General features: G+C 40.4%; 1 protein-coding gene across 3 annotated transcripts in view; it reads right to left on the bottom strand.

The window, feature by feature from the left end:
• The window catches only part of PRSS38 (serine protease 38), a 30,796-nt gene extending 16,051 nt beyond the window's left edge, over positions 1 to 14,745 (bottom strand). For 2 of the 3 annotated variants that reach the window (NM_183062.3, NM_001374657.2), the window contains exons 1-3: positions 14,556 to 14,745; positions 14,168 to 14,330; positions 12,940 to 13,211 (exon numbers count right to left, since the gene is read on the bottom strand). In NM_183062.3, coding sequence (NP_898885.1) covers positions 12,940 to 13,211; positions 14,168 to 14,330; positions 14,556 to 14,703 — 583 coding nt within the window. In that variant the 5' untranslated portion in view covers positions 14,704 to 14,745. Of the gene's footprint in view, positions 1 to 10,710; positions 10,772 to 12,939; positions 13,212 to 14,167; positions 14,331 to 14,555 lie in introns of all 3 variants that reach the window. The other variant, XM_011544175.3, reaches the window with a different exon arrangement.
• Between the last annotated feature and the right edge of the window lie 589 nt (positions 14,746 to 15,334).

Genomic DNA, 15,334 nt, shown 5'->3' with positions numbered 1-15,334 from the left:
TAAATACATAAAGTATATAACAAACTAATAATAAAAATATCTTTCCATAAAGAAAAGCCCAGGCCCAGGTGGCTTTGCTCATGAATTCTATCAAATCTTTAAGAGGGAAACAATACCAATACTATAAACATGAATATTTTTCTTATACCAAAACCAGACAAAAACATCACAAGAAAAATTCAGCCAATATGTCTCATAAATGTAGTTGCAAAAATCTTTAACAAAGTATTAACAAATTGATTCCAGCAACCTAGAAAGACTATTATACACAATGACCAAGAGGGATTAATCACAGGAATGCAAGGTGAGTTTAATATCCAAAATTGAATATAATATATCAATAACATAAAAATCAGGAGCCACAGGAACATATCGATAGATGTAGAAAAAGCATTTCTTACTCCTATTCATAACAAAGATACTCAACAAACTAGGAACCAAAGAAGTCTTCCTCAATCTGTTAAAAGATATCTACAAAAAAACCCCACAGCTCACATCATTCTTGATGGTGAAAGACGAAACATTTCCCCCACTAAGATGAAGAACAAGGCAAGGATATCCACTATTCCCAGTTGTATTGAACATTATATTAGAGGTTGTAGCCAGTGTAATGAGGCAAGAGAGAGAAAGCCTACCCACACTGGAAAGTAAGAAGACTGTCTTTGCTCACAAACAACATAATATATGAAAAAACTCACAGTGAATTACAAAGAATTTAAACTACATTTCTCAGAATGAAATGAATAAAAATCAAGTGTACTTCAATATGCTAACAATGAACAATTAAAATGAAATTGAGAAAACTGCATTCACAATAGATTCAAAAATCATAAACTATATACAATATACTGTATATAGTAAACATATGTACAATAAAAGTATAAGTATATACAATATACTGCCTAAGGCCCATGAGCAAGAGCTAGTGGGAATTTCTTTGGGAGTGCTCAAAAGCACTTTTTGGACAAAGGAATAGACATTTTTCAAAAGAAGACATACAAATGACCAATAAGCATATGAAAAAATGCTCAATATCACTAATCGTCAGAGAAATTCAAAACCACAGTGAGATACCGTCTCACACTAGTCAGAATGATTATTATTAAAAAGTCAAAAAACAACAGAAATTGGTGAGGATGAAGAGAAAAGGGAAGGCTTATACACTGCTGGTGGAAATGAAAATTAGTACAAGACTAAAATGGCCAATTGGAAGCAGCTGCGGTCTGTGGCACTCACAGAGAGGAATGAAAGTGGTAAGTGAATTCAGCATTTTCAACTGAAATATCCAGGTTCTCGCGCTGGGACTGACTAGGCAAACAGGTCCACCCATAGAGAATGAAGAAAGGCAGGGTGGGGTGATGGCCTGCCCAGGAGCCACATGGACCCAAAGGAATCCCTGCCCTCAAGTCAAGGGAAGTGGTGAAGTGATTGTGTGATTCCACCCTGGGAAACCACACTTCTCCCATGAATCATTGCAACCAGCAGATCAGGTGATCCTCTCATAAGCCAGTATCACCAGGTCCTTGGGTCTCTCTACACAGAGCTGTGTGGAGTCCTGACAGAGTAGCCACTCAGGCACACACGGAGACCCAGGAGTTTTGTATACTCTGGCCCCAGGATTCCCAGCAAGGTGGGAAACCTGTCCCTACATAACCCTGGGGGGTGGTCCCTTGTGAGAAGGAACAGAATCAGGGACCCACTTACAGAAGCAGCCTGGCTGCTTCTTGGTAGTGCAGCTGTGCTCCTTTGTTGAGGACCCTTCTTCATCCAGATTGTCTGGACTCTCCAGAGCCGGCAGGCTGGAACAGCTGAGTTGACTCAACTGCAGAGATGGCACTGCTCCTCTCCCTGGGGAATTGGTCCTTCTTAAGCAGATTCCAGCCTATCGCGACTGGCAGGCTGGAATTCCAAGCCAGTAGTCTTAACTTGTGGGGTGCCATGGAGGTGAGGCTCACAGAATGATGCTGCTTGGCTCCCTGGACCCAAGTAATAGTAAAGGGTTCAACAAGAAAAGCTAACTATCCTAAATATATATGCACCCAATACAGGAGCACCCAGATTCATAACGCAAGTTATTAGAGACCTACAAAGAGACTTAGACTCCCACACAGTAATAGTGGGATACTTTAACACTCCACTGATAATATTAACAGATCATTGAGACAGAAAATTAACAAAGATATTCAGGATCTGAACTCAGATCTGGATCAAGTGGACCTAATAGATACTTACAGAACTCTCCACTCCAAAACAACAGAATATACATTCTTCTCATCACCACATGGCACTTACTCTAGAATTGATCATATAGCAAAAGTAAAACACTCCTTAGCGAATGCAGAAGAACTGAAAACATAATAAACAGTCCCTTAGACCACAGTGGAATCAAATTAGATCTCAAGATTAAGAAACTCACTCAAAACCACACAACTACATGGAAATTGAACAACCTGCTCTTGAATGATTTTAGGTAAATAATGAAATTAAGGCAGAAATCAAGAAGTTCTTTCAAACTAATGAGAACAAAGAGATAACATATCAGAATCTCTGGGATACAGCTAAAGCAGTGGTAACAGAGAAATTTATAGCACTAAATGCCCACATCAAAAAGCTAGAAAGATCTGAAGTTAACAACCTAACACCTCAACTAAAAGAACTAGAGAACCAAGAGCAAAAAACCCCAAAGCTAGCAGAAGACAAGAAATAACCAAGATCAGAGCTGAACTGAATGAGAGAGAGACATGGAAAACCCTTCAAAAAATCAATGAATTCAGAAGCTGGTTTTCTAAAAAAAAAAAAAATTAATAAGATAGATCACTAGCTAGACTAATAAAGAAGAAAAGAGAGAAGAATCAAATAAACACAATCAGAAATGATAAGAGGGATATTGCCACTGACCCCACAGAAATACAAACAACCATCAGAGAACACTATAAACACTTCTATGCAGATAAACTAAAAAAATCTAGAAAAGAAACTAGAAAATAAATTCCTGAACACATACACCCTCCCAAGACTGAACCAAGAAGAAATTGAAACCCTGAACAGACCAATAACAAGTTCTGAAATTGAAGCAGTAATAAATAGCCTACCGACCAAAAAAAGCCCAGGACCTGATGGATTTGCAGTTGAATTCTACCAGAGGTACAAAGAAGAGCCAGTTCCATTTCTACTGAAACCATTACAAAAAATTGAAAGGAGGAACTTCTTCCTAATTTGTTCTATGAGGCCAGCATCATCCTGATACCAAAACCTGGCAGAGATACTACAATGACCACAACAAAACTTCAGGTCAATATACTTGATGAACATCAATGCAAAAATCCTCAACAATATACTGGCAAACCGAATCCAGCAGCACATCAAAAAGCTTATCCACTACAATCAAGTTGGCTTCATCCCTGGGATGCAAGGGTGATTCGACATACGCAAGTCAATAAACGTAATCCATCACATAAGCAGAACCAATGACAAAAACCATATGATTATCTCAATAAATGCAGAAAAGGCCTTTGGTAAAATTAAACATTCTTTCATGTTAAAAACTCTAAACTAGGTGTTGAAGGAACAGACCTCAAAATAAGAGCCATATATGACAAACCCACAGCCAATATCATACTGAATGGGCAAAAGCTGGAGGCAGTCATTGCCCTTGAAAACCGTCACAAGAGAATGCCCTCTCTCACCACTTTTTTTTTTTTCTTGAGATGGAGGTTCACTCTGTCACTCAGGCTAGAGTGCAGTGGCACTATCTCGGCTCACTGCAACCTCTGCCTCCCGGGTTCAAGTGATTCTCCTGCCTTAGCATCCCGAGTAGCTGGGACTACAGATGTATGCCACCATGCACAGCTACTTTTTTATATTTTCAGTAGAGATGGGGTTTCACCGTGTTGGGCCAGGCTGCTCTCGAACTCCTAACCTCAGGTGATCCACCCGCCTCAACCTCCCAAAGTGTTGGGATTACAGGCGTTAGCCACCGCACTTGGCCTCACCACTTCTATTAAACGTAATATTGGACGTTCTGTCCAGGGCAATTAGGCAAGAGAAAGAAATCAACGGTGTTCAAATAGGAAGAGAAGTAGTCAAATTATCTTTGCAGATGACACGATCCTGTATCTAGAAAACCCCATCATCTCAGCCCAAAAGCTTCTTAAGCTGGTAAGCAACTTCAGCAAAGTCTCATGATATAAAATCAATATGCAAAACTTGCTAGCATTCCTATACACTGACAACAGGCAAGCAGAGAGCCAAATCATGAATGAATTCCCATTCATAATTGCTACAGAAAGAATAAAATACCTAGGAATACAGCTAACAAGGGAAGTGAAGGACCTCTTCAAAAAGAACTACAAACCACTGCTCAAAGAAATCAGAGGGGACACAAACAAACGGAGAAACATTCCATGCTCACAGACAGGAAGAATCAATATTGTGAAAATGACCATATTGCCTAAAGTAATTTATAGATTCAATACTATTCCCATTAAACTACCATTGACATTCTCCACAGAATTAGAAGAAAACTATTTTAAAATTCATATGGCACACAAAAAAAAGCCTGAATAGCCAAGACAATCCTAAGCAAAAAGAACGAAGTTGGAGGCACCATGCTACCCAATTTCAAATGATACTATAAGGCTACAGTAACCAAAACAGCATGGTACTGGTACAAGAACAGACACATAGACCAATAGAACAGGATAGAAAACTCAGAAATAAGACTGCACACCTACAATCATCTGATCTTCAACAAACCCGGCAAAAACAAGCAATGGGAAAAGGATTCTCTATTTAATAAATGGTGCTGGGAGAATTAGCTAGCCATATGCAGAAAGATGAAATTAGACCCCTTCCTTACACCACATACAAAAATTAACTCAAGATGGATTAAAGGCTTAAATGTAAAACCCACAACTTTAAAAAACCTAGAGGCCAGACGCGGTGGCTTACGCCTGTAATCACAGCACTTTGGGAGGCTGAGGCGGGCAGATCACAAGATCAGGAGATCGAGACCATCCCAGCCAACATGGTGAAACCCTGCCTCTACTAAAAATACAAAAACTAGCTGGGCGTGGTGGCATGTGCCTGTAATCCCAGCTACTCCAGAGGCTGAGGCAGGACAATTGCTTGAACCAGGGAGTTGGAGGTTGCAGTGAGCTGAAATCACTCTACTGCACTCCAGCCCAGCCTGGTGACAGACTGAGACTCTCTCAAAAAACAAAAAAATAAAAAACCTAGAAGAAAATCTAGGCAATACCATTCAGGACATAGGCACAGGCAAAGGTTTCATGACAAAAATGCCAAAAGCAATTGCAACAAAAGCAAAAATTGACAAATGGGATCTAATTAAACTAAAGAGCTTCTGCACAGCAAAATAAACTATCATCAGAGTGAACAGACAACCTACAGAATGGGAGAAAAATTTTGCAATCTATCCATCTGACAAAGGTCTAATATCCAGAGTCTACAAGGAACTTAAGCAAATTTACAAGAAAAAAAACAAACAGCCCCATTAAAAAGTAGCAAAGGTCATGAACAGACACTTCTCAAAAGAAGACATACATACAGCCAACAAACATGAAAAAAAGCTCAACATCACTGATCATTAGAGAAATGCAAGTCAAAACCACAATGAGATACCATCTCATGTCAGTCAGAATGGCTATTACTAAAAAGTCAAGAAACAACAGATGCTGGTGAGGTTGTAAGAACAAAGGAACATTTTTTACATTGTTGGTGGGAGTGTAAATTAGTTCAACCATTGCAGAAGACAGTGTGGCGAGTCCTCAAAAACCCAGAGGCAGAAATACTATCTGACCCAGCAATCTCATTACTGGGTATATTCCCAAAGTAATATAAATCATCCTATTATAAAGATATATGCATGCAAACGTCCATTGCAGCACTATTCACAATAGCAAAGACATGGAATCAAGCTAGATACCCATCAATGATAGACTGGATAAAAAAATGTGGTACATGTATACCATGGAATACTATGCAGCCATGAAAAAATGAGATCATGTCCTTTTCAGGGTCATGGATGGAGTTGGAAGCCATTATCCTCAGCAAACTAACGCAGGAACAGAAAAGCAAACATCACATGTTCTCACTCATAAGTGGGAGCTGAATTATGAGAACACATGGACACAGGGAGTGGGGAAACAACACACACTGGGGCCTGTTTGGGGGGATAGAGGGAGGGAAAGCATTAGGAAGAACAGCTAATGGATGCTGGGCTTAATACCTAGGTGATGGGATAATTTGTGCAGCAAACCACCATGGCACATGTTTACCTACATAACAAAACTGCACCTCTTGCATATGTACCCCTGAACTTAAAAGTTGAAGAAAAAAAAGAAAATTAGTACAACCTCTATTGAAAACTATATAGAGATCTCTCAAAGAACTAAAAATAGAGCTACCATTCAATCCAGCAGTCCCACCACTGGGTATTTATCCAAAGGAAAATAAGTCACTGTACAAAAAATACCTGCACTCACATGTTTATTGCAGCACTATTTGCAATAACAAAAATACGGCTATTAGTCTGTTTTGCATAGCTATAAAGGATAACTGAGGCTGGGGAAATTATAAGGAAAAGAGGTTTATTTTGGCTCACAGTTCTGCAGACTGTACAAGAAGTATAGTGCCAGCATCTGCCTCTGGTGAGGACCTCAGGAAGCTTACAATCAGGGAAGAAGGTGAAAGGGAAGCAGGCATGTCATATGATGCAAGAGGAAGTAAGAGAGATGTTAGGCTCTTAAACATTAGTCCAGCTTTTGCACAAACCAAATGGAGCAAGAATTCACTCATTACTGCAAAGATGGCACCAAGCCATTCATGAGGAATCCACCCCTATGATCCAAACACCTCCTACTGGCCCCACCTCAAACACTGGGGAGCACATTTTAACATGAGATTTGGAGGAAACAAACATCCAAACTATGTCAATATAGAACCAACCTTCGAGCCCACCCAGGGACAGCATGAACAAAAAAGAAAAAAAATAGAACCAAACCAAGTGCCCATCAACAAATGATTGGATAAAGAAAATGTGGTGTGTTTGTGTATATATATTATTTTATATTATATGTATAAATAAATAATATATATCATACACACCATGGAATACTACTCAGCCATAAAAAGGAATAAAATCATGTCTTTTGCAGCAATGTGGATGGAACTGGAGGCCATTATCTTAAGTGAAATAATTCAGAAAGTCAAATAATGCTTCTTCTCACTTATGAGTGGGAGCTAAATAAAGTTCACAACACAGAGAGTGGAATAATATGCATTGGAGACTCAGCAAGGTAGGAGGATGGGAAGGTGATGGGGGATGAGAAATTACCTATTGGGTAAAATGTTCACTATTTGGGTGATGGTTACTCTAAAATCCCAGACTTCACCCCTATGCAATATATCCATGTAGCAAACCTGCACTTGTACCTCCTAAATCTATAAAAATAAAAAATACATAATTTAAAAAGTAAATAAATTGGAAAAGATTTTTAGAAAAAGCACCTCTGTACTTGAGGGAATTTAGAAGGCCATGAACATGCCCAGGGTAAGACACATGCTCATAAGTAAACCTGAGAAGACCAAAACTTTCACCTCAGGCTGATCCCTAGGCTTGGTGCAAGCATGGCTAAGTATTGAAAAAGTGCCTTGGCACAGACCAACCTGCAAAGATCATAAGAAGAGATTTTTGGTTTTGTTGGTTTTTAGCTCCTGGCATTCAAGAAAATACTGTCAAAACAGTAGCTAACAGAAGCTAAGGAATAGCGACTTCAGTGACCACACATGAGAAAGGATACAGTCTTTGCAAAATAGTTTGGGAAAATCATTAAACAGACTACTATAGCTTTCAACAATCAAAACACCACAGAAAACCCTGGGGTTGGAGAGAATCTTATTTCCAGAGTTAACACATTATTATAATCAATATTCAGCCACATATAACATTCATTATATATTCAAAAGTATAAAACTCAACACTCCTGTTTTCAATAATAGTAATAATAACAACAAAAATCAGAAAAAAACTATGGCCCACTTAAGAAAACAAAATAAGTGGATAGAAACTGTCCCTAAAGAAGTCTAGACAAAGACTTTAAACAAGTGTATTAAATATGCTCAAAGAGCTAAGGGAAAACATAGACAAAGAATTAAAGAAAATCAGGAAAATAATATATGAACAAAAAGATACTATTAGTAAACAGAAATTATCAAAGGAACCAAACAGAATATTTGGCATTAAAATGGCAAATAATGGAAATGAAAACTTCACTAAAGGGGCAAAGCAGACAATTTGAGCAAGCACAAGAGAGCATAGGTGAACTTGAAGATGGGACAATTCAGATTATAAAATCTAAGGATTAGAAAGGAAAAAAGAGGAAGGAAAGTAAAGAGAGCCTAAGAGACTCCTGGGACACCATCAAATGAACCACATATGTGTTATGGTATTTTCAGAAGGAGAAGAGAGACAGAATGAGGTAGAAAGAATATTTGAAGAAATAATGGTCCAAAATTTTGCAATCTGCTGAAATATTTAAATCTACAAATTCAGACTGAACAAACTTCAAGTATTATAAACTCAAATAACCCCCAACAAGACACATTATAATCAAACTGTCAAAAACTAAAGGCAATGAATCTTGAAATGAGCAAGAGAGAAGTGTCTAGTCATGTACAAGGATCCTCAATCAGATTAATAGCCAATTTCTCATAAAAAACTAAGGAGATCAGAAGACAGTGTTATGATGTACTTAAAGTGCTAAAAGAAAAAACCTTTCAACCAAGAATCCTATATCTGACAACATCGTCCTTCAGAAATGAGGGAGAAATTAAGTCGTTCACGGATAAACAAGAGCCATGGAAGTCTGCACCACTAGATCTTCCATAGAGGAAATGCTAACTGGAGTGCTTCACATTGAAAAGAAAGGACACAAAACAGTAAGTCAAAGCCATATGACAAATTAAAGGACTTTGGTAAAGGTAAATGCACGGGCAAATATAAAAACCATTAAACCATGATATAAATCATTCTATTATAAAGATACATGCATGCATATATTTATTGCAGCACTATTCACAATGGCAAAGACATGGAATCAACCTAAATGCCCATCAATGATAGACTGGATTAAAAAAATGTGATACATGTATACCATGGAATATTGTGCAAAAAAAAAAATGAGATCATGTCCTTTGCAGGGACATGGATGGAGTTGGAAGCCATTATCCTCAGCAAACTAGTACAGGAACAGAAAACCAAAACACCACATGTTCTCACTCATAAGTGAGTTTGGTTTTTAATTCCACTTTTTATTTGGTTTTTAATTCCACTTTTTATCTGCAACAGGATTCAAAAAACAAATGCACAAAAATGATTATAAATTTGTGAAATAACTTATCTTGCAAATGAGATAACTTGGATGAAATAGACAAATTTCTACAAACGTATGAATTATCTAAACTTACACAGAAGAAATAGGAAATCTGAAAAGATCTATAACAAGTAAAGAGATTGATTCAACAATAAGAATCTCCCAACAAAGAAAAGTACAGGACCAGATGGCTTCACTGGTAAATTCTACCAAATATTTAAAGAAGAATTAATCAATCTTTATCACACTCCACCAAAAAAATAGAAGAGGAAGCAACACTTCATAATTCATTCTATGAGACAAGAATTATCCTGATGCCAAAGCCAAAGACACCATAAGAAAATATAACTACAGATCATACCTTTAAGAATATAGATGTAAAAACCCTCAGCAAAATATTAGCAAACTGTAACCAACAGCATATAAAACCATGACAAAGCGAGATTTATCCAAGAAATACAAGTGTAATTCAACATAAGAACATCAATCAATGTAATATACATTAATAGAATAAACGAAAAAAGACAACATAGGATCATCTCAATTGATGTAGAAAAACTTCATCAACATTAAGGCATTTTTTTAAAAACTGACAGCTAACATCATATTCAATGGTTAAAGACTGAAAGCATTTCCCATGAGATCAGAAACAAAACAAGGATTTCCACTTTGATCACTGCTATTTAATTTGTACTAGAAATTCTAGACAAATAATTTAGACAAGGAAAAGAAATAACAGCCATTCAAATTGGAAACAAAGAAGTAAAACAATCTCTATTCATAGATGACATGATCCTATACATAGAAAATCCCAATTAATCTTTAAAAAAAAAACAAAACTACTACATATAATAAACAAATTCAGTAAAGTTGCAGGGTATAAGGCCAACACATAAAAAAATCAGTTGTGTTGCTTTTTTTTTTTTTTTTTTTTTTTTGAGATGGAGTTTCACTCTTGTTGCCCAGGCTGGAGTGCAATGGCGTGATCTCAGCTCACTGCAACCTCCACCTCCTGGGTTCAAGTGATTCTCTTACCTCAGCCTCCCAAGTAGCTGGGATTACAGGCAAGTGCCACCACACCCAGCTAATTTTTATATTTTTAGTAGAGACGGGGTTTCACCATGTTGGCCAGGATAGTCTCAATCTCTTGACCTTGTGAACCGCCCGCCTTGGCCTCCCAAAGTGCTGGGATTACAGGCGTGAGCCACTGCACCCGGCCAAAAATCAGTTGTGTTCCTATACACCCCCAAAGAACAATCCAAAAAAGATAGTTATGAAAGCAATTTCATTTACAATAGCATCTAAAATAATAACATACCTTGGAAATAAATTTAATGAAGGAGGTGAAAAACTTGCATACTCGAATCTATAAATCATTGCTGAAAGAAATTAAAGACTCAAATAAATGGAAATACATTCCATGTTTATGGATAGGCAGGTTTAATATTGTTAAAATGTCAACATTACTCAACATGGTCTGAATATTCAATGCAATTCCTATAAAATTCCAATGGCCTTTTTTGTAGATATGAAAAATTTTGTCCTATACTTTTGGATATAGACAAAATCAAAATAGGGTGCACATACTTTTGAGAAACGAATAACAAATATGTAAGAATTCAAAGCCTGTAACATGACCAAAGGAGACTTTGAAAGCTATAATCTTCAATTTATTCATAGAAAAAGTATGAAATGTTGAATCTTTTGTATTTTCAGCTCAAAAAATTAGAAAAGTTTGGTTAAGCAAACTTAGAGTATAAAAAGTTTAACGAATGAATAGATGGCTATAGGAGTGAATAGCAAAGCACCCAACATATAAAGTCCCATGCACCACCATCTCCCCACATACACCAATGCAAAATCTGTAGCAGGTAGTTTTATATAAAAAAGGCAATAGAATAGACAATTTTGGCAACTATGATAAGGAATTAAGAGAAGTCAGAAAAGTAATAATAAGAGCACATGAATTACAGTCTTACACAATATCATTATATTCAAAATCTGGAATAAAATGAACAACTTTCTAGAAAAATATAATCCATCAAAATTGGCCTAAGAATAAATTTTAAAATTGGAATGAACCAGTAGCCATAACAGAGAGTAAGACAGAGTAATCATTTATACCCGCAAAAGGTACTAGGATCAGAGTGTTTTATGGCCACATCAAACCTTCAAGAAATAGCTAATCTTTACTTTAATAGAAACTATTGCAGAGAATACAAATAGATGGGAAAGTTTTGATTCATTCTACAAAGTCAGCAGTACACTCATGCCAAAGATAAAATCAGCTAAGAAAAAAAATTCTAGACCCATCTCACATTAAATACGTTTTTTTTTTTTTTTTTTTTTTTTGAGAGAAGGTCTCACTGTTGCCCAGGCTTTGGTGCAGATATGCAGTTTTGGCTCACTGCAGCCTTGACCTTCTGGGATCAAGAGATCTTTCCACGTTAGCCTCCTGAGTAGCTGGGACTACAGGCACATGCCGTCAAGCCCAGCTAAGTCAGCATTTTTTGTAGAGACAGGATCTCACTATGTTGCCCAGGCTGGTCTCAAACTCCTGGGCTCAAGCGATCCTCCCACCTCAGCCTCCCAAAGTGCTGGGATTTACAGGTGTGAGCCACTGCACCCAGCTTAAATGCCTATTCTTGGCATCAATAGATTAAAAGAGCAGAACTATATGATCCTCTCAAGAGTTGCCGCAAACATTTCAATAAAATCAATAATTTTCTATAATTTTTTAAAAATTAAGTAAATCAGCTATAAAAGGTAACTTTCTTAATCTGGTGTAATATATCAACCTGAAATCTCCAGGCCTGGCCACAAATGCTATAGTGAACCATTATAAGCATTTCCAATCAAACCAAAACCAAGACAAGATCTGGCATCATTTCTACTGGAGGTTCCAACCATTGTAAGAAGACAAGAAAAATAAATAAAAGATAAAATATGGGAAGAGAGTGATAAAATAGTCTTTACTAGAAGAAAATATTATCTTTTGTCTAGAACTGTCAAAATAATCAGTTGATAAACTACTAAAAATAAATTCTATAAGATGACTGGATATAAGATCAATGTGCAAAAATCACACATAGTCACAGCTAATTAGCTGTGACTAATTAGCAAATGCAATTTTAAAAATCTCTTTTGAATAGACCTAAATATTGTAAAGTGCCCAGGTATAAATCTAGAAAGAATGCACAGGCCTTTCTGGAGAAAAGTTTAATAACAAACGGTTTTTAGATAAGCTAAAAGAGATTTCTAAATTCCGTTTACAATCTTAAGGAAAACTGCTTTTAAATTTGTGTTCTTGATATACTGCATACCAACTTCACATCAAAGTAGCTGTATTTTTCTGCATACAACAAAGCCAGTCAGAAATAAAACAAAACAACAAAATATCCACACTGACAAACAAATAAATGTTGATTGACAGGTGGGGATTCCAGTCCCCAAACACCTGGACCCCCTTAGCTGGCAGAGCATTTTCTTCCCTGTGGTGGAAGAGAAGCCTTCATCCTGCCCACAAAGCCCTGCACTGTATTCCTACCTTGTTTTGAGACTAGTCCCCATCCCGTAGCCCAGCAATTGGCACTGGTAAGGTTCACTTCTGGAGTTGCAAGGCAAACCGGGAGCACGGACTCAGAAAACACAATGCGGGTCTTCAGCTGCACCAGGGCCACGTCACCTCCGATGGGGTGGTACATCTCATATGTGGGGTGCAGGATCACCCTGTTCACCTCATACCACTGGGTGTGGTTGCCGGCCACCCTGAGGTTTACGAGGCCTACGTACATGTCATAGATTTTGATATTCTTGTCCCTGTGGGGGTGAGAACAGAGGTACAATGCCCGCAGCTTCCTGTGTGGTCAGCCCACAGGCCTGGGGAGGCCAAGCGCAAGGGGCTGGCACTCACTCGGTGGGATTGAAAAGCCAGTTTCTTCCTGCAGCATAGTAGGGACCTATCTGGCTGTCTGGAAGAGTTGCCCCCTAAAGAGTCGACTTGGCCCATGGAGGCTCTGGGGACCCAAGTCTGTACACGACCACCAGCTGTACAGGCCAGCAGCCCATGCATGTGAGACCTGCTCTGACTCTTACTGACAACCTGGTTGCACACATCCCTCTGGAGGCCAGATGGCCACAGGAGAGGCGTGCCTGCTGTGCGGGGCAGCTGTGGTGAATGGGGCTGTTGGAGGAGCAATCGGGAAGGCCAGGTGCTTAGAGACCAGCCTTGCTTATGAGGACCTGGCTGTGCACTTGAGGAGCAGCCTCACTTTTGTGGGACCTGGCTGTGCACTTGAGGACCAGCCTCACTTGTGGGAATCTGGCTGTGCCCTTGAGGACCAGCCTCACTTGTGGGAATCTGGCTGTGCCCTTGAGGACCAGCCTCACTCGTGGGGACCTGGTCGTGCACTTAGGGGACCAGCCTTGCACATGGGGACCAGGCTGTGCATTTGAGGACCAACCTAGCTCATGGGAACCTAACTGTACACTTAGGGGATCAGCCTTGCATATGAGGACCTGGCTGTGATCTTGGGGACCAGCATCACTCTTGAGGACCTGGCTGTGCACTTGGGGGACCAGCCTCAAGAATGGGGACCCAGCTGTGTGTTTGGGGACCAGCCTCACTGGTGGGGACCTGGCCTTGCGCGGGTCGACAGTGGTGAAGGGAGTCGACAATGGTGATGGGGGAGGCTTGCGTGGGGTCCATCCAAGCCGCTGTGGGCACTCCGTGCAGGCCCAGCTACCCACACCATCCCAGGCCGGCGCCCGCTTACCTGTGAAAGCAGTGCGCAGCTGACAGCACCCAGTACTCATTGAGGATGGAGCCGCCGCAGACGTGGAGGCCTGCGTAGTGCACGCTGACCTGCCACGGCCACTTCCTCTCGGGCGCAGGGACGCCGCCCAGGATTTTCCCCTCCATGCTGGGCCGACCACAGGCTGCAGGGAGAACGGAGCTGACGGTGGAGCCATGCTGGGGCCACGGGAGAGGTAGGGCAGGCAGGGGACGTGGGGGAGGGGCAGGGGACACAGGAGGAAGGGAAGGCAGGGGACATGGGGGAGGGGAAGGGATGGGCAGGCGACATGGGGGAGGAGGCCCAGCACCGACAGACGCCCCAAGGGCACTGTCTCCAGCCGCCCATCCGCCCCTGGGGCAGGGCCTACCCACGCTGCCAGTTAGGGAGATTCCCTGGTTCTCTGGCTGTCTGTGGACCAATGCTGCGACCCGGGGAGGGGCCACCACCAGGAGCAGCAGCAGAAGGCCCAGGGCAGAGGGCCCGAGTGGGCCCATGACGGAAGCAGGGGCAGCCATGAGGCTCGAGGCAGCGCCCCCAGCGGGTGACTAGCTCCCGACATGTGACTGTGTCTCCAGCACAGGATTGCGCCCCCAACAGGTGGTTGCACCCCAACATGTGACTGGCTCCCACTAGCAGATGGCACTCCCAGCAAGTGAGGGCACCTGACCTGGACATGCGACTGCACCCCCAGCACATGTCTGTGTCTCGTGGATTTACCTCTCCCGACCTGGGCACATGATGGCTCCCAAGCTGGACATGTGACAGTGCCCCAACCATACCTCATATGCCTAGGTGTGGCATTCCATTCCACAGTCAGGTCTAAACACACTGGTCCATTTGAGAATTCTGTGTTTTGAATCGTGATGTTCTCAGTTTTCTCCATGGCCCAGCTTAATTCTGTTAGGTCAATGACAATTTATACATCTGCCACCCAGCTATCAAAAAAAAAAAAAAAAAGAAAGAAAAGAAAAAGAAATAGGCTGGGCACCGTGGCTCACACCATAATGCCAGCACTTTGGGAGGGTGAGGCAGATGGATCACTTGAGGTCAGGAGTTTGAGACTAGACTGGCCAATGTGGCGAAACCCTGTCTCTACTGAAAATACAAAAATTGGCTAGGTGTGGTGGCGTGCAACTGAAATCCTGG

The sequence above is a fragment of the Homo sapiens genome, chromosome 1 (genome assembly GCF_000001405.40).
Source record: "Homo sapiens chromosome 1, GRCh38.p14 Primary Assembly".
NCBI lineage: Eukaryota > Metazoa > Chordata > Mammalia > Primates > Hominidae > Homo > Homo sapiens.
Note: the sequence above shows the minus strand (reverse complement) of the source record. Positions and strands in the feature narration are given on the sequence as shown.